The 18,926-nt window shown below is 42.9% G+C and overlaps 1 protein-coding gene across 2 annotated transcripts in view; it reads left to right on the forward strand.

Moving 5' to 3' along the window:
• Nucleotides 1-18,926, forward strand: part of SNX18 (sorting nexin 18) — a 130,247-nt gene that overhangs the window by 91,941 nt on the left and 19,380 nt on the right. Inside the window, exon 3 of one of the 2 annotated variants that reach the window (XR_007058577.1) lies at nt 8,047-8,231. The gene's annotated coding sequence lies outside the window, so the exon portion shown is untranslated. Of the gene's footprint in view, nt 1-8,046; nt 8,616-18,926 lie in introns of those variants that run through there. The other variant, XR_001741987.2, reaches the window with a different exon arrangement.

Genomic DNA, 18,926 nt, shown 5'->3' on the forward strand with positions numbered 1-18,926 from the left:
GAAGTATAGGGAAGACAAACGTGAGCCAATATGTCAATAAATTGCCATGCCGTGGTGATATAGTTTGGATGTTTGTCCCTGCCCAAATCTCATATTGAAATGTAATCCCCCACATTGGAGGTGGAGCGTGGTGGGAGGTGGAGCGTGGTGGGAGGTGATTGGATCATGGGAGTAGATTTCACATGAATGGTTTAGCATCATCTGCTTGGTACTGTCCTTGGAATAGTGAGTGAATTCTCGTGAGATCTGGTCATTTAAAAGTGTGTGGCACCTCCCCTCCTCTCTCTCTCTGTCTTCCTTACTCCTACTTTCACCATGTGACATGCCTGCTTTCCCTTCGCCTTCCTCCATGACTGTAAGCTTCATGAGGCTTCCCAGAAGCTGAGCAGATGCCAGCACCATGCTTCCTGTATAACCTGCAGAACCGTGAGCAAATGAAACCTCTTTTCTTTATAAATTACCCAGTCTCAGGTATTTCCTTATAGCAATGCAAGAACAGACTAACACACACAGTAATACAGTATGACTTAGGTAGGTATCTGAATGATGTGACACCACCCTTGTGTCACATCTGTCAAGAGCTTCAGTCTAATGTGTGTATAGCACTCCGTGGTTTACCAAACCTCACACCACTGAACATGTCGCTACATTGCTCCGACTTTACACACAAAGGAATGGAGGTTGGGAGCAGTTAGCAGAAGCTTAAGCAAGTGATTTCTGTAACTATGGTGAGACTTGAATCCACCCCTACACAGCATCCTGGGCTGGCCACTCTGCAGGGCAGATGGAGAGTGATTTACAAGCAGAGTTTTCCGCTCAGCCAAGATTGGAGATTCAGATGCTTCCCCTCTTGGCCATATTTTCTTTTGCAAATAATCAGGCAAATAACCTGATCAGGCAAATAACCAAAGAGATTATTTGCATAATGTTATTGCTTTGGTGTGTTATTTGTTGGAGTGTGTTAAATAACCACGAATGTTTATTAGTCAGCTCTTCCTCTGCCAGCAGAAGAATGTGGTCCCTGAGATACTTTCACATCCTGTTGTGGTGTTGAAGTAATTAGGAGGGTGTAACAGGGAGGGGGTTAACCCTTGTTGCAGCCCTGGCTGAGGGGAACATATAGATACAAGCTCGTTAAGAGCACAGTCAGTTAGTAGCCTGACATTAGTCCTTGAGAAGTTACCCTTAATCAGACATCCAAATTTCCCTAACATTGTCTGATTCTTTAGGAAAATACAGAATCATCTATTGGCTACGTTTACAAATGTTTTGGTTGATTTCTATGGTCACCCTCTACCCTAATCCAGAACAGAACAGACTGAATATTTAAGGATCATCCTATGTAAATTCAGTTCATTCAACCTCTGCTTTTTAAAAATCTCCTCCTTATGGGTGTTTGCCCCATAATCTTTGCTTACTTTCCAGGTGCTGAGCTTGACCTGCTGAGGAGTCTGTCAGTCTCAGGCTGCTGCTAGTCCCTTGATAAGATAGACGCATTTCCCTGAGAGATATATTTTAAACATATCACTTCCTTCTGGTTTTTAAGATCATTCTGCTGTCTCTTGAACATCTTCAAGGTAGCCCTAAGCCTGCTGGCCTCACCCGCCCCAGTAGGAAGCATGCCCAAGATGGTCCTTTCCCCACCCAGAGAGAGAATCACCATGCCCTGTCTCCTGAACATGACTTTGACTCTACAGTCAAAAAAAAATCCCTTGGGCCTTTGTTTCCTACTTCACCCTGCGGGTCCCAGGGTAGTCTGCTCTCTGTTGTCCTCCAGGTCCCCTTCTAGATTCCATTCTCCTGCTGACTAATGGTGTCTGGAATGACGTTCTAGAAATTATTTTCCTCTCCAGGAACAACTTAAGGGGAGGAAGAAGAGGATGCCAGCTAGGAAATCGTGTCTACTGATTCCTAGTTTGTCTTTCACTTGCCTGGAATGGTAACCCCAGATATTTCCAAGAGGTTTCAGTCTATACCTACTTTAGCTTATTCCTGAAAGCATAAACGCCACTCACATAAGCCTTTATCTGGTAAAAGAAAGGAGAAGTGGGGGTGGGGGCTGGAAATGATGGGGAAGCAACTTGACTGGTTTGAGGGGGGATGTTTACAGTGTTGGGGTGAGGCAGGGTGCCTGGAGCAACACATTGTGAATTCTGGAATTTTCTTCTTCTTCTTCTTCTTCTTTTTTTTTAATTAGAGACAGGGTCTTGTTCTGTACTCCAGGCTGGAGTGCAGTAGCACAATCATAACTCACTGTAACCTCAAACTCCTGGACTCAAGCGATCCTCCCGCCTCAGATTCCCAAGTAGCTAGGACTACAAGTGTGCTTCACCATGCCTGGCTAATTTTTAAATTCTTTAATGTAGAGATGATGTCTCACTATATTGCCCAGACTGATCTTGAACTCCTGGGATCAAGCGATAACTTGTTGTTATAATAGTTAATATTATTGTTAGTAATGAGCTATTCCTAATAAGGACCATTCAAGTTATTGCTTTGGCAGAGGAGCAATTAAAGAGTAGATTCTTTCCAATTTTCCTCTTAGAGGGTGGGAATTTTTTTTTATTTTTTTTTTTTGAGATGGAGTCTCACTTTGTCACCCAGGTGGGAGTACAATGTCGTGGTCTTGGCTCACTGCAACCTCTGCCTCCCGGGTTCAAGCGGTTCTCTTGCCTCAGCCTCCAGAGTAGCTGGGACTACAGGTGCGTGCCACCACACCCGGCTACTTTTTTTGTGTGTATTTTTAGTGGAGAGAGTGTTTCACCATGTTGGCCAGGCTGGTCTCGAACTCCTGACTTCATGATCTGCCGGTCTCGGCCTCCCAAAGTGCTGGGATTACAGGCGTGAGCCACCGTGCCTGGCTGAGGGTGGGATTTTTAAACTTGGATTTTATCGGCATACGCACTGGGGCTTACGTTTGTCATAAACACTAGAAAAAACAAAACACTGTCCACTTAATTTGAAGGCAACAAGGCATGGTGCAGCTGATCTGTTTTCCAAAGCTGCAGCCATAGGTCCCTTTTCCTTCTCCACTGTCACCCGAGCCATGTTCCTAGCTGGTCTCTATTACAGTCTTCGCCAAGGACAAACTCTGACTCAGGAGACAGTGACAGGAGGCAATCTGTCATGTTTCTCAGTCAGTGACACTCTCCCAACCAGCATCACTCAACCCACCCTCACCCCAGACACTAGATTCCCACCCTAGGGCAGCTAATCCAGACGTAAGGCATCTAATCGGAGACCTTTTCCCTTCCTCCTTTTCATTCCATCCCCCACAGCAAAGCTGTCATCTTGTGTGTTAAACATTCCTGGCCTTGCCAAGTAACTGAATAATGGGATAAGCTGCTTGTATTGTGACAATGGGTTGTAACAGCCAGAGCCTAGGATGGGAGCGGTGCTCATGCCTTCAAGGGCAGGTGGGTACCAATGTGAGATGTTGGGTATGCCATAATTGGGAAATACTGGGCTGACGGCAACTTGGGTAGCAGCAAAAACTCTGCCTATAGGGATTATCTTAGTTCGTTTTATGCTTCTATAACAGAATTCCTGAAACTACGTAATTTATAAGAACAGAGATTTATTTCTTACAGTTCTAAAGATTGGGACGTTCAAGGTTGAAGGGCTGGCATCTGGCAAGGGCTTCTCGGTGCATCATCCCATGAAGGAAGGCAGAAGGTCAAGAGATCACGCACATGAGAGAAAGAGGGAAGGGGCTGAACTCATGCTTTTATCCGGAAGCCACTCCTGCAATACAGGCCTTAATCCATCCAGGAGGGCTCTGCCTCTTCACCCTCATGACCTACTCATCTCTTAAAGGTCTCACCTCTCAGTGCTGTTGCATTGGGGATGTTTCCAACACAAGAACTTTGGAGGACACATTCAAACCCAAGCAGGAATTTAAATTTGATTCAAAATGCTGGTGGCTATAGTTTGTTGTCCCAGATGAAAGTGTGAACTTCTTGTTTTAATCAATCAGTAAAAGGCTAAGGCCCTCTTTTTTTGTTGTTTGTTTTTTTGAGACGGAGTTTTGCTCTTGTTGCCCAGGCTGGAGTACAATGGTGCGATCTCGGCTCACTGCAACCTCCGCCTCCTGGGTTCAAGTGATTCTCCTGCCTCAGCCTCCCGAGTAGCTGGGATTATAGGCATGTGCCACCATGCCCTAATTTTGTATTTTCAGTAGAGATGGGGTTTCTCCATGTTGGTCAGGTTGGTCTCGAACTCCCGACCTCAGGTGATCTGCCTGCCTCGGCCTCTCAAAAGTGCTGGGATTATAGGCGTGAGCCACTGCACTCTTTTAAGAACCCAAGTTTGGTGTTCTGAGGTGAAGGGCTGCATGAGATAAGAATATGGTTGGGATAATTTTGAGCATGTTCTTCATTAGCAAAAGAAATGTTTCTCCTGAACAAAAGTTGCCAAGGGCATTGAAGTTAAAATGTTTTGATAAAGATAACGGAAAGCAGTCCTGCCAGCCCATTGGCCATCATGGTTCTCAAAGACTTAGGGAGGAGAAAAAACTTTGGAGCTGGAATCTGCAATTCTGTTGTTGGTTCTGGGTCTAGAAATGGAAAACTAGGCCCTGCTGGAAACAAAAAGAGCATCTCCCTGATAAGACCAGCAGGCAGATAAGAGGGGTTTGTGGGGTTTTATTAGGCTCAGAAGCCTCAGAGCTAAACTTCTAGATTTTAAAACAGTTTAGAGTAAGATTTATGGAACAAGATCAGTGATTAGTAATCTGTAATTATAGTGAGATAAAGTACTACTTGTATAATATACATGTTCTTTCTAAGAATTCATAAGCAAGGAAAAATAATGAGAAAGATTTAAGGGCCAGGTGCAGTGGCTCATGACTGTAATCCCACCACTTTGGGAGGCTGAGACAGGTAAATTGCTTGAGCTCAAGAGTTCAAGATCAGCCTGGGCAACATGGCAAAACCCCATCTCTACAAAAAAATAAAGAAATAAAAATTAGCCAGTCGTGGTGGTGTGTGCCTATAGTCCCAGATACTCACTCTGGAGGCTGAGGTGGGAGGATCACTTGAGCTCAGGAGGTGGAAGTTGCAGTGAGCCAAGATCACATCAGTCAAGCCTGGGTGATTAAATCTTTTAAAAATATTTAAAAGACATAGACACTAAAAATAAAATTAGTTGAGTATTCTATTCCAGGTACTGTCTTAAGCACTAACTTAAACTGTCGTACACACTAACTTAAACTTCTTAACAACACCCTAAGAAAAAGGTATAATTATTCACATTTTACAGATGAGGACATTGAGGATCAGAGAGATTAAGAAACTTGTCCAACTCACCCAACCAGTACATGACTCTAGGAAACATACTCCTTCTGCTTTGGTTTTTATGGAAAAAACATTATAGATGGAGGGGATGTTCAGGGCTCTGGAGCTTCAGTTAGAGAGGTCTGGGAGGAAGCCTGACCCTTGTGGGATCCATTTTGGTCTAACAATACGATCATTCATGTTCCAAGCCAAAATTGTAGTAGGTAAAATATTTTTGTCTCTCGACTTCCAGATGTCTACCAGGTAAAGAGAAAATTCTTGAGCATGATCTAGAAGGTTCTGTCTAGTTCCCAGCTACAATTCTAGCCTGTCTCCTCTCTCACATGCCTGTAGTCTACCCACCCTAGACTAGCTTCTCATCCTCTGGGCTTGTGCCCCTACTGCTTCCCTTTGCTGGGTGTACCCCAAGTCTGCCTCATGCATTCCTACTCTCTTTTAAAAATCCAGCTTGGGTCATCTCCTCTGTAAGGATGTTCTACCCTTGCCCCCTCACTTCCCAGTCTGATAGACAGACTTAGTCACTGCTTTCATGCTCTCAAACCCCACTGCCTATTTCTCTTAGCGATATCTTTGCATTGTATCACAATGTGTGTTTCAGTCTGATGCATCTTAAGATTTTTAAATGCTTCTGAAAATACAGTGCCTATCTTGGGTATGCCACCTAGTTTGGGCTTTAACCAAATGTTTCTAGACTCTACAAGAGTGCACAATCCTTCAGTTAATAGGGTAGCTCTGGAGGAAAAAAATGTGCATGATCCTCAGACAAAGCACATGTTATTTGTATCTTCAATAACAGGTGCTTTGCCAATTAGCACAGTTCATGTCAGAATTGTTTCTTACAGGTGAAATTAGTGGCATGTTGATTAACATGATGAAAGTTAGAAATGGGATCTGTTTGGTGAATATAAAGATAAGTAGACTAGTTAAAAGAGCTTAGAGACTCTCCACTCTTGCATGAATAAAATATCCAGCACTCTTAGAATGATGCCTTTACCTGGTCTTGGGCCTAGCCATAAACTGTGGGAGATTCTGGTTGCTCAATGCTGGCTAAACTGGCAGCATTATTCTGCCTCTGGAATCCCAGAAATTGTCTTAGAGAACTTTGCAAGGAAGATTATATGAACCACTTTTTTGCTTGCTCACTAACAAATATTTAGTTAACAAGCGTCTGTGTATGCAGCAGAATTTGGCCAGTGGCTTGCTTTGTTCATGATTGTGTAACATTTGTGGAGAAGAATAGCTAGCAGTTCTGACTTAACAACTCCTAGGTTGCAATCATCCGCACATGACCTATCTGGCTCGGGTCAGTTTTCAACACCCACTCACTGGAGTGTGTCCATACTGCTTCCCTATTTTCCAGGTGGTTCTTATCTATTTAATAACAACTTACTTCTTCAGGAGAAATAGACTATGCATTATTACATTAACTATTCACTCTGATTGTAAAACCACATCCCAATTTCAAAAGTATTAAAAGATTAAAGAAATGTGCATCTTGGCCAGGCACGGTGGCTCACACCTGTAATCCCATCACTTTGGGTGGCTGAGGCAGGTGGATCACCTGAGGTCAGGAGTTCGAGACTGGCCAATATGGTGAAACCCTGTGTCTACTAAAAATACAAAAAATTAGCCAGGCGAAGTGGCAGGCGCCTGTAATCTCAGCTACTAGGGAGGCTGAGGCACGAGAATCTCTTGAATCCAGGAGGCCGATATGGCAGTAAGCCAAGATCATGCCACTGCACTCCAGCCTGGATGACAGAGCAAGACTCCATCTCAAAAAAGAAAAAAAAAATGTGCATCTTAGAATAAAAGCAAACACAATGTCAGATCTCCCTTCATAACTTGCCTGTGTTTTAACCAGGTGCTCACTGCCTAAACTCAGATGCAAGGTAACTGTGGGGTTTCTTTTCCTGTGCTGGGACAAGCCAATGGGAGATATTTGGGGACAGGGAAGTCTCTCCAGGGCCCCTGCAATCACATCAAGCTGGTTTTTATCTCTGAGTCACAGACTTAACTTTCTTCCCCTAGTTCCTTCGACATGAAGGAGGTCTCTTGATTTTGAGATATAAACACTGAGGCAATGAATGAGAGTAAACAACTTCGTCAAAGGCCCCTTCAAAGAAAGTCAGTGGTAAAGCAAAACACACCAGCAGTGTTCCAACTCTCAGTTAATTCACCAGTGAAGCCGCAAGGCCTCTCCTTTCCATGGGCTCCAGCATAAAGCATTTTGACAGATGAATTCCTGACCTGAACAATTCCTTGCCTTTAAAATTCATAAAAGCATAGCAGAACAGAACAGAACAGAATATTGAGTGCAAATAAACCTGTCCACTAGTAGTTCTTATAGCTCCTGTTTGGTTCCACAGGAAAACAACAAGTGAAAACATGCTTTTTACTACTCTATAGAAAATATTTCCTTAGAAAGCAAGGTAGAAATGGTGTACTTCCCCCTCCCAAGTAAAACTTCTCAAAATTTTCAGTTTTCAGATTCTCCTTGTCTGTCAGTGGCATTACTAAAGATGTCCTGTGTTCAACAGAGAATTGAAATAGACTGTGGGAGGGATGGAGAGAGGCGTGCTAAAGAGACAGAAAATATGGTTTTGACCCTCAAGAAACACAAGTTGTAGATTAGGAGATACACCACAAAGAAGATAATTATAGCACTGAGTGAAGTTCTGGAAAGGATTTGTTCATGTCTCTGTTGATGAATCTCTCTTTTTTCCCCTCTCTCTTTTTCTTTTTTTTAAAATAGAGACAGATGTCTCGCTATGTTGCCCAGCCTGGTCTCCAACTCCTGGCTTCAAGCAATTCCTCCTGCCTCGGCCTCTCCAAGTGCTGGGATTACAGGAATTAGCCACCATGCTCATTCTCCATTGACTAATCTGTTAATAGTCCTATCTTTGGGTAAGGTCAACCATGGAGAAAATGCTGGAAGAGGTAAGGTCTAAATTGGGGGATGCGAGGATTATGATGGAGGAAGGGGAACAGCATTCCAGGGTGACATAGTTTGGTTGTGTCCCCATCCAAATCTCATCTTGAATTGTAGTTTCCATAATCCCCACATGTCATGGGAGGGACCCAGTAGGAGGTAATTGAATCACAGGGGCCATTACCCACATGCTGCTGTTCTCATGATAGTGAGTTCTCATGAGATCTGATGGTTTTGCAAGGCTTTTCCCCCTTTGCTTGGCACTTCTCTCGCCTGCCGCCATGTGAAGAAGGATGTGTTTGCTTCCCCTTCTGCTATGATTGTAAGTTTCTTGAGGCCTCCCAGGCCATGCGAAACTGTGAGTCAATTAAACCTCTGTCTTTTACAAATGACCCAGGCTTGGGCAGTCCTTTATAGCAGTGTGAGAATGGACCAATATACAGAGTTAGTATTCCAGAGTAAGGTGAAGTTTCACAAAGGTAGAAATAAGCAGATCAAATCCCAGCAGAGTCCCAGGTCATGGTCTTTGGGTTCACTTAGACCTTGCCATCCTTCACCACTTTCCAGTTGTGTCATGCTAGACCACTTCTAGCCTGTCTCCTTGGCTACAAAAATGGGATCATTAGATCTGCCTCATAGCATTCCTGTGAGAATGAAATAAAATAACATGCGATGTTAGAGTAGATGTTAAATAAATGTGCAGTTTTCCTTTGGAGTAGAAAGTTACTAAATGAAACTGGTGAGAGAAGGGGTTGAGGTTACTGGCAAAAGGAAAGGGAACCCCAAATGTTTAAACTTTGTATTGCTTCCTGGAAGACTAAATTAACATCTCCATATGGAAGCTTTTAGGATTAAAATACACCAGACAGGACAACTCAGTTATAATTTAAAGTGTGTGCTAAAAAAAATCAATAAGTAAAAAGATATACATCTCCGTAGTTAATAAAGGAGACAAGTTTTATACCCCCTGTTCTATAAGCAAAGCATAAGCATAATAAATTCGAGTTTAATATCTGAAAAGTAGAAAAAAAAAGGAAACCTTTTTAACTCTAAAAAAGCAAAACAAAACAAACCATATGAAATTGCTGACCATGGTGTAGGTAGTAATATTGAGCAGTAAAAATAATTAGGCATAGACAGGTTTCCATTAATAAGCTGACACTGACACTGTGGTGTCAAAGATTCTAAGATATAAGTATAATCAGAAAGCAGAGGTGAAAGGAAGGCCCCCGCTCCAAAGAAAATAAAAGTTATTGTTTAAGTTAGCAATTTCAGATGACAGATGGTGCATTAAAAAAACAACAAAGGCCAGGCACAGTGGCTCACGCCTATAATCCCAGCACTTTGGGAAGCTGAGGTAGGTGGATTGCTTGAGCTCAGGAGTTTGAGACCTGCCTGGGCAACATAGCAAAACCCCATCTCTACAAAAAATACAAAAATTAGCCGAGCATGATGATGCATGCCTGTAGTCCCAACTACTCGGGAGGCTGAGGTGGGAGAATTGCCTGAGCCAGGGGAGGTCGAGGCTGCCTTGAATTTTGATCACATCACTGCACTCCAGCCTGGGTGACAGAGCAAGACCCTGTCTCAAAAATCAGTCGTACAAACGTAAAAACCTCTCATTTGACGTGTACTTTATGCGTTAGGGCACAATACACTTTGAATACACTATCTATGATTCTTTTTCTAGGTGGAGAGGAGAAGAAAGTGCAAACCAAAAAGTGACTGAGGCAGATCTCAATGAATTAGAAGTTTATTTTGCCAAGGCTGAGAAAGCACCCAGGAAAAACAAACACAGCTCATAGTAGAATTTGTGACCTGTGCTTTTTCCAAAGAGAGTTTTGGGAACTTTGGTATTTAAAAGGGAAAGAGCAAGCAGGAGGGAAGAGAAAAAAGTAAGCAACAAGGCAAGTGGTTACATTCTTGTGAGGTTCTGGTTAGTGCTTGGTAAATCTACATTTTACACATGAGTAGAGAAAAGTCAATTATGCATTCATCTGGGGCCCAGTAAATCTACATTTTACATCAGCTAAAGTAAGCATGTGAAATTACAGCTATTTGTTTGGGAACAAACGGAAGGCGGTTTTTATGTGACTCATTTGCCAAGCTTAACTTTCTCTGGCATAGTGAGTTTGGGGTCCTGGGATTCTACTTTCCTTTAACAATGGTTTTGTCCTTCAGTTTTTCACCTCTGTTTTATAAAGAGCTCTGTCAGTTAAGGAAGCAGATGTCACAGGCAAACTGGCATGATTTTGCAAGGGTTTATTTACAGAGTGACTCCTTGTGGAGCTGTGGACATACAGGAGGCATAAGAGATGGTGCATTATCCCAGGGCAAATATCAGCAGAGCTGCTGTCATCCCTGGGTCTGGAGCTTTGGGGAAGGAAGCAGCTACCAGAACCTGGAAGGAGAGTCACATAGAGGAGGCTGCCTTGAGAGAAGATGTCATCTTCAACTGGGGGATGCAGTCAGCCTGAGGTAATCTGTTAGAGAGGTGTCAGTTGAGTGAATATGCTGAGGTCACTGTCAACTTCCTTCTGTTTCTCTGCACGGCCTCCCACTTGCCAAACCCAGCCAGAAGGCAGAGAGTATTGGAGCCCATTGATGTAGCCCATCCTGCCTTCAGGCAGACAGCAGATCTGTAGGGGACCACAGAAAATATCTGACATAAGAATGAGAGGTGACACAAGAACAGAGGCGTTGCCGTGGAGGAGGAGCCAGACAGGAAAAGAACTAGAATTTGGCTGGTACATTGGTTGGGCAGAGTAGCCATAACAAAATACCATAGACTGGGTGGCTTAACAGAAATGTATTTCTCACAGCTCTGGAAGCTGGAAGTCCAAGATCAAGGAGTTGGCCAACTTGGTTTCTTGGGAGTCTTCCCTCTTGGCTGGCAGGTGGCCACCTCACTGTGTCCTCACATGTTTTTCTTCTCTGTGCACATGCATTGCTGGTGTCTCTTCTTTTAACAGCAGTCATATTGGATTAGGGCCCCACTCCTCTTTTACCTCATTTAACCTTAATTACCTCTTTAAAGGTCCTTTCTCCAAATCCATTCACATTAGGGGTTAGGAAGGGGAACACAGTTCAGTCCATAACAGTTGGCGATAAGGTTTACACCCCCAGTAAATCCTTTATGGTTGCTATGAGTATGAATTAGAGTAGCCCATGGAACTCCCAAAGTCTCTCATTCTGGTGTGACTGTTCATCACACTAACCTCCTTTTTCTGGTATTGGATGTCCACTTCTAACCCTCTGGCCACAGGCACTCTGACCTGGGTTATTGATTTCCAGGTGCTAACTCAGAGAACTTCATTCTAGTCTAGCATTTCATTCAGTCCTATGAGTAACTTTGCGTTCTTGCCAGCATTGTGAATCAACAATCTCCCTTTTTACTAAGTCTATTTAGTAAAATTTGAGTTGGGTTCTTGCCAACTTGTGTCCCCAAGTCCTGACTAGTCCTGACCAGGGATAAAGGGCACTTATTTGTGAGAATTTTGTTCTAGTAGCAGGAAAAATTAGAAATGTCATTCTTAAGATTTGAGGCTAGTTTTCTAAAATAGCAACAGCTTATCCCTTCCCCTAGCAGATAGGTCTACCCCTTCAAGGAATCTACAGAGCCAGGGAGGAGACACAACATCCCTGTTTAGTGACCACTGCAGCCAGTGGTGATGTTTCTCAACAGGGACCTTTAGAAAGATATCAAGCACAACAACGTTACTGTTCACATTCAGAAAAACGAGAAAGTGCAATGAAAGGGCATTCACAGATCACTCAGGTATCAGAGAAGGGTTAAAGATAGACCCCTCTGGCTGCTCATTTAGCCACACTCCTTGTTCTTGATGAGATGGGTGGGTTGAAGCCAGGATGCCCTGGAGACAAAAGCAGCCTAGTCAACCCTCCAATAAAACGCCCTGAATATGTTGTCTCAGAGGCTGTAGACAGCCACTGTGCTAAATTATTCACCCTGACTTTTACTGGATACCTTCCTCCCATTTCAATTACTTGAGATTTTTATAGAAAATTGGCTGTGGGAATTTGACCGCTCCAACTGCCTGGTAATAATCCGGTCTGAATAGTAAACTCAGCATGGGCTGATTCTGGGACGAACCAGAGCATTCTCAAAAGAATTCGAGGAGAGCTGCCTTTGGCTGCAAAGAAAACTAGGAATCTGTTTATACAAAATGATGCTATTTATTTGTGAGAATATTTTGCTATTTACATAGTAGGAGGAAAATGTTAGAAATGCCACCCTTAACCAAGATTTGATGCCAGTTTTGAAAAACAGCAACAGGGCCAGACATGGTGGCTCACGCCAATAATCCCAGCACTTTGGGTGGCCAAGGTCGGAGGATCACTTGAGCCCAGGAGTTCGAGACCAACCTGGGCAACAAGGTGAAATCCCATCTCTACAAAAAATACAAAAATTATCTGAGTGTGGTGGCATGCACCTGTAGTCCCAGCTACTTGGGAGATTGAGGTGGGAAGATCGTTTGAGCCCAGGAGGTTGAGGCTGCAGTGAGCCATGATTATTACTCCACTGCACTCCAGCCTGGGCTACAGAGCAAGCCACTGTCTCAAAAAAAAAAAGCAACTAGCCCTTTCATAAATGCTTTGACCACTGTAGGGCTCTGCAAATGCTTTTAAACATCTGTATTAGAATATAAACATAATATATAATAAATATAAATATATATAAGTATATATATTAAATAAATATATAAATATAATATAAAGAAATCTTGACACATTCACACACCTGTTAGCTAAAAGCTTGGCCAGGTGCTTATTCTGTGCCAGGTACTGTGGTCTATTTACATCTATTAATTTATCTAATGTTAACAAGAAGCCAATTCGTAATGATGGTGTTATCCCCATTTTGCAAACAAGGAAGCTGAGACTCTAAGATTAAGTGACATGGTGAATTTAACACAATCTCTAAGTGGTGGTTTGATTTCAGACTCTGGTTTGTCATTGCAAGCTAAAATACTTCAAAGTTAGAAATGTTTGAAGCAGAAAAGAATAAATATCAAATTCTTTAATTAGTTTTCTTACACTCCATAGTTAATGCAAATCATTTCTTGAGTGTTCTTTCATTCATATCAATAGTGCTTATAAATACAATAAAAATCATTTTGGATCCCCTTTCAAACACATGACATTATGTTTTAGATTGTGGGCTCAGTCTCTGTAGTGATAATCTGCTTACGTGAGAACTGGAGGGTGTCTAAGTTTGAGGGCCAAGACAGATGGCCAGAGGGGTGGCAAGACTCACCCTGAGGGCAGAGAGAGTCATTAGCACAAACTTGGTTTGAGAATAGGAGGCAGCATGAGAAGAGAGTTCAATTAGAGCTTTCAGGCTTTGCTCTTTTTCTGAATCCTCCAGAACATGTGCCAGAGCACCAGGGAGATGAACTAGTAAAACTCAAAGAGCCAGGAGCCTTTTCACGAGTGTCTTCAAGAGCTCAATGGCAGGAGGCAGTGTAGCCCAGCATTGCAGCACTTCAGTGTGGGGACTGCCTGAGCACAGGCCACAGAGGGCTGCATGGCTCTGAAACAGGGCAAGGTGGATGGATCAGACCAGCCTAGATCCAGCATAGAGAGGTAGCAGTCTCCAAGCAGAAGGGAGGGAACTAACAGGTACCACATTACAGCTACAAGAACTTACCAGAGGAGTGATGTTCTCTATTCACAGCCAAGTCTTCTCCATTCCCACACTCGGTTAATCTACCCAGGAGCTTATGTAACTACTTGGGATAATTTTGAGGGAGCTAGACTTCCCCAAAATGCATGGGGTGCATGGGTTGGAGCTAGATAAATACTGTCCTATTGCCATTAGTGAGATTGTGATGGTCTAGGCATTTTTGAAGGGAGAAATATGTAAAGAAAGACAAGCCTCTTACTGAACAGGTGGACTCTCATTGCCTTCACTCTTCAGCAGGCTCATTAGATGCATCACTCTTCCCTATGGCTTCAGCATGTAGAACTTTCTCCAACTTTGAGGTATAGAAACAGAATAGAATTCACTTAACCTCAGTTACGAGTAAGCATATCTTTTAAAGTGTGCTCAGTTCATTATAAATAAATGTAGTTATTAACAATCTCAAGGTTTATGGAAGGATTACAGCTATCCAGTAGCGCATTGAGCAGCTATTTATCTGAAAGCACATACTGACTGAATCCATCAACGTCCCATTCAGCATCTTAAGAGATCAAACTGCCTGGAAAAATAACTTAATCAATCAATTGCATACTATATAGTATCAATCATATACCACACTATGCAGTAACTGCACAAAATAATGTATTCTCAATGGTGCTTAGTAATAGTATCATGATGTTGAATTCTCCTGGTATTCAAGTTCTCACCACTTTATGACTTTTCATCATGGGCAGTTAGCAGGGGTTTGGGCTCCAGGGGTTTTCATTAGCAAGCCACAGTCTCCTTAGTACTTGGCTTTCACTCTTTCTAGTGATCAGATATTTTACAGGGATTTTACTTTTCCTGATGTATTTACCATGAGCCAGGTATAGTAAATGAAGATACAGAAGTGAGCAAAAGCAGGACAATGCAGTCCTCCATGTAACATATCTTGGAGCACCTGAAGCAATTCAGAACTTACAAGTATCGTATTTTAGTACTTCAGGGATATTTTGGAAGACAGATTTTAATCAAGACTGCAAAGCCAACGTTTCAAAATTGAACTGCACATTCATGATACCGTGGCAAAAGGTTCATGGATATTTCAGCTGCTTCTTAGGTTGTTCAATTTCCTGTTCAATCGGGAAGGGAAATAAAGTATCCCTTTTAATAGAGTATGTCAAAGCTAATATAATGATGGAAGCTAGGCATCCAGAGCAGACAGGTCTAAAGCAATAGAAAAGTTCCACTCAAACTCAGTCTCCAGCAGTTTCTGTCTCAGGGAGTGAATGGAGGGTAAACAGCTGTCAGCGCTGTGCCAGCGTCCCCCAAACCCCGTAAAATGTGGTTTTGCAAAGTTTCTTGGAAGCCAGGTCGGTACAAATCTATTCCTGTTGCAATCATATGAAAGTTTACATTTTTTTCCCTCCATGGCTAGGATGTCAGAAGAGTGAGCAATTTCCTTTTATATTTTGAAACTTATATATTCAGTTAAAAGAGCTTAAGTGGGATGTTATAATGAATATGTGTTTTCGAGTACCAGAATTCCCTTGGGGCTATGATTTCCCCATTCTCAGGCCATAGTGTGTATGAGGGGAAGGGGGAAAGAGACAGTAGTATTCATTTTCTATTGTGTATAACAAATCACCTCCAAAACATAGTGGATTAAACAACAAACACTATCTCACAACTTCTGTGGGTCAGAATTCTGCGGGTCCGGCCTTGCTGTACACCTTTGCTTCAAGATGTGTCACAAGACTGCAATCAAGTTGTCAGCCAGGGCTGTAATCATCTCCAGACTCAACTAGAGGCAGGCAGATCTGCTTCTAAGCTCGCTCGTATGGCTGTTGGCAGCCCTTATGTCCTTGTTGGATCTTGGACACAGCTATCAGTTTTGTGCCACTTGGATTTTTCCAAAGGGTAGTTCACAACATGGCAACTGGCTTCCCTCAGAGTGAAGGCTCTGAGGGAAAGAGAGACAGGGTGGGCAAGGCAGAAGTCACACTCTTTTTGTAACCTAATCTCAGAGGGTGGCATCCCATTGCTTTTGCTGTATTCTATTTATTAGAAATGAGTCCAGCCCATACTCAGAAGAGAAGAGTACACAAGGGCATGGAGACTAGGAGACAGGAACCAACGGAGGCCATCTTGGAGGCTGTCTAGGGGAAATCATCTGGAATATTCCATTTCTCTGACTGCAGTCATTGGCTCATGGATAGGCACATGATCCAAACCTGGCCAACGAGACTTCACCCTGGAACTTTGGCTGAAACTCTTGGGAAAGAAATCTCTTTTTACTACAGTTTGTATGATATAAGCATGGAGCCTCAGTGGCCAACTCTGTCACCATCTGGAAAAAGCACCTTGAAAATAAGAGCAACATAGAGGAAAATATGACCAAAAGATGAAAATGAAATATTGCTAGTGCCGTTGTTTGAACAACTTGATCCAGATATATCTAGAGCCAGGCCTATCCCTAGATTTTTCTGTTGCATGATCCAATAAAAAAGACTTCTCTTTTTGGCTTAAGCTAACTTAAGCTACCTTAAGCTGGGCTTATTTCACTTACTTCTGAAAGACATCTGATATACAGATACAGTATAATAAAGATATGTCATTACCTTTTAAAAATTTCTGTCTAGTAAAAAAGAATCAGCAAGAACTTTGGTGTGATTGGAGTGATGATAGAAAAATGACTTCTTAGGATTGTAGTAAACTATTTATTCACTCTGTACCCTAAATATGAGATAATTTCTTTTCTTCTTCTTTTTTTTTGAAAGACAGGGTTTTGTTATGTTGCCTAGGCCGGTCTCAAACTCCTGGGCTCAAGTGGTCCTCCCACCTTGGCTCCCAGAGTGCTAGGATTACAGGCATGAGCCACTGCACACAGCAAAGAGAATTTCAGTTCGCTTGTCCTAAGTCCTTGTCTCATTGTAACACCAGGTAGAGCAGCTCTCTGCTTTGCTTCTGATGCTTAGCTGGCTGTTTGTGTCTGGATGAACTTTGGTTTGGAAGGTAATTTTACCAGAAATTAGTGTTTCTCAACCAGGGATAATTTTGCAATGTCTAGAGACATATTTGGTTGTCACATCAGAGCAGGAAGTGTGCTACCGTCATCTAATAGGTAGAGGCCAGGTAACCCTCTACACATCCTAAAATGTGCAGAACAGCCCTGACAACAAATAATTCTCCAGTCCAAAATGTCAGTAGTGCTAAGGTTCACAACTGCAGCTCTAAATTATCTGTGGGTAAGATAGCAAACTACAGTGGGAGGTTGTGTTCACTTGTTTATGGTTAACTAGTAATATAAAGAGGTCCAAGCTTGAACATGCATGTAGAACATGTTGCTTGGAGGAGAATCTGTTGTCATTCTGCTTCATATGGTGGGCCCTAAGGCTTGGAAGATGGCACAACAGAGAATGGGTTCTTAACGTTTTTCAATAGCTGTTCACTGATGGATTCCTCTGACATATATTCATTCATGCTGTCTGTTGTGTTCTCATAGAGCAATGTCCATTTCAGGATGATCTGGTGTGCTAAGAAAAATAAAAGATTTAGGATCCCCTTGATGGGATCTAGTTCTATACCATGCTCACAAATAAAAATTAACATCTACATCCTGATTTTAACAATGAGGGACTTTTGTTGTAGCTGAAAAGCAGAGCAATTAATATTTTAATCTGACATTAAGATCTGAATGGAAAAACTGGGAATGAAAAATATAATCGTACTCTTCCTATTAGCAGGAAATTTAATTTTTGCATGATCTGATGGTGTTTAGCTTCTCTAATGCTTCCTCTTACCCTTTCCTGGGGATATGTTTTGAGGCCCATCCAGTATTGCTGTTAATGGAAACATGTTATTTCATTTGTTTATTCACGTATTTAATACACATTTGCATATTCCCCTGGAATGCCTAGCTCATAGTGAGTATTCAATACTCTTTACACTGTTCTTTGTTATAAAAGATTCTCCAATCTTCAAAAACAGGTTCATAAGTTGGGGCCCTCCTGGGGTCTGAGGGCTTGGGAGGGTTAAGGTTTGTTATTGAAGATCCCAGGGCTGCCTCACATGGTGGCTAAAGCTGTGTCAAGCAGGAGGGAGCACGTGGGGGGACCAGTGGCAGGGGTGCAGATTCCAGCCCATGCTCCCATTTCCAAGCTGTGTGCTTGACCTGGGGCTGAGTTCACCAAAGATCCTGACCACTGGCCAAGCCATGCTCCCTAGGGGACTACATCCCTCTATAAGGGTGCCCTGCCTTCAGTGGAGGCTAGTGGAGGCCCTGTAAGGATGAGAACCCATAACTAAACACCCATTGGCTATTTGGCAAAGACTTTTCAACATGTGTGCAGGTGTTCTTGAGCTCCTGGAGCCTTATTGCAGATTTCCATTACCCACGCCTACATCTGGGTTCATAGGCAGTATAATTATCATTGCAGCGAGACCCTATTAAGTCCTACTTCCCAACCAGGAAAAGATGGCAGGTACTTAATAGGACCTGACACACACCCAGAGACAAATTAGTTGGGCACTGTGCTGAGAGCAGGCACCTGTGTCTTCCACTTGAGGCCCAGGATGTCTTTAGGTTTTACTGCAGGATAATCATTTGGAAGTAGAACTGGGATGTTATGCTTCACCTCCTGCAGTTAATGATTAGCTAAGCCACTTAACCAGGAAGGTCAGTGAAAGGGAACCACTTTGAATCAAAAGGTGAGGTCTGAGAGGTCATCTGCAGTGACCCAGATCCAAGAAATGAAGCAGAGAGGCTGTTCCAAGCCCACTGCACTATTCTTCTCCCTCCTGGGTTTCCCTTCTCAGTGAGTAGCACCACCATTCTCCCCAGTATTCAAGTTGGAGACCTGGCTGTCACTCTGGCCTCCGTCTTTCACTCCCAGCTGGAAGAGTGACTGGATTCTGTCTATGCCTCTTTAGTGCCTCCTTCATCACCCCCACCTCTTCACCCTCAGAACCTCACCACCTCAGTCCATTGGTCACCATCTGTCATCTGACCTATTACAATGGGGTGTGTCCCCACCTCTAGTCCCCTCTCCAGGCAGCTGCC

The sequence above is a fragment of the Homo sapiens genome, chromosome 5 (assembly GCF_000001405.40).
Source record: "Homo sapiens chromosome 5, GRCh38.p14 Primary Assembly".
In the NCBI taxonomy this organism is placed as follows: Eukaryota; Metazoa; Chordata; class Mammalia; order Primates; family Hominidae; genus Homo; species Homo sapiens.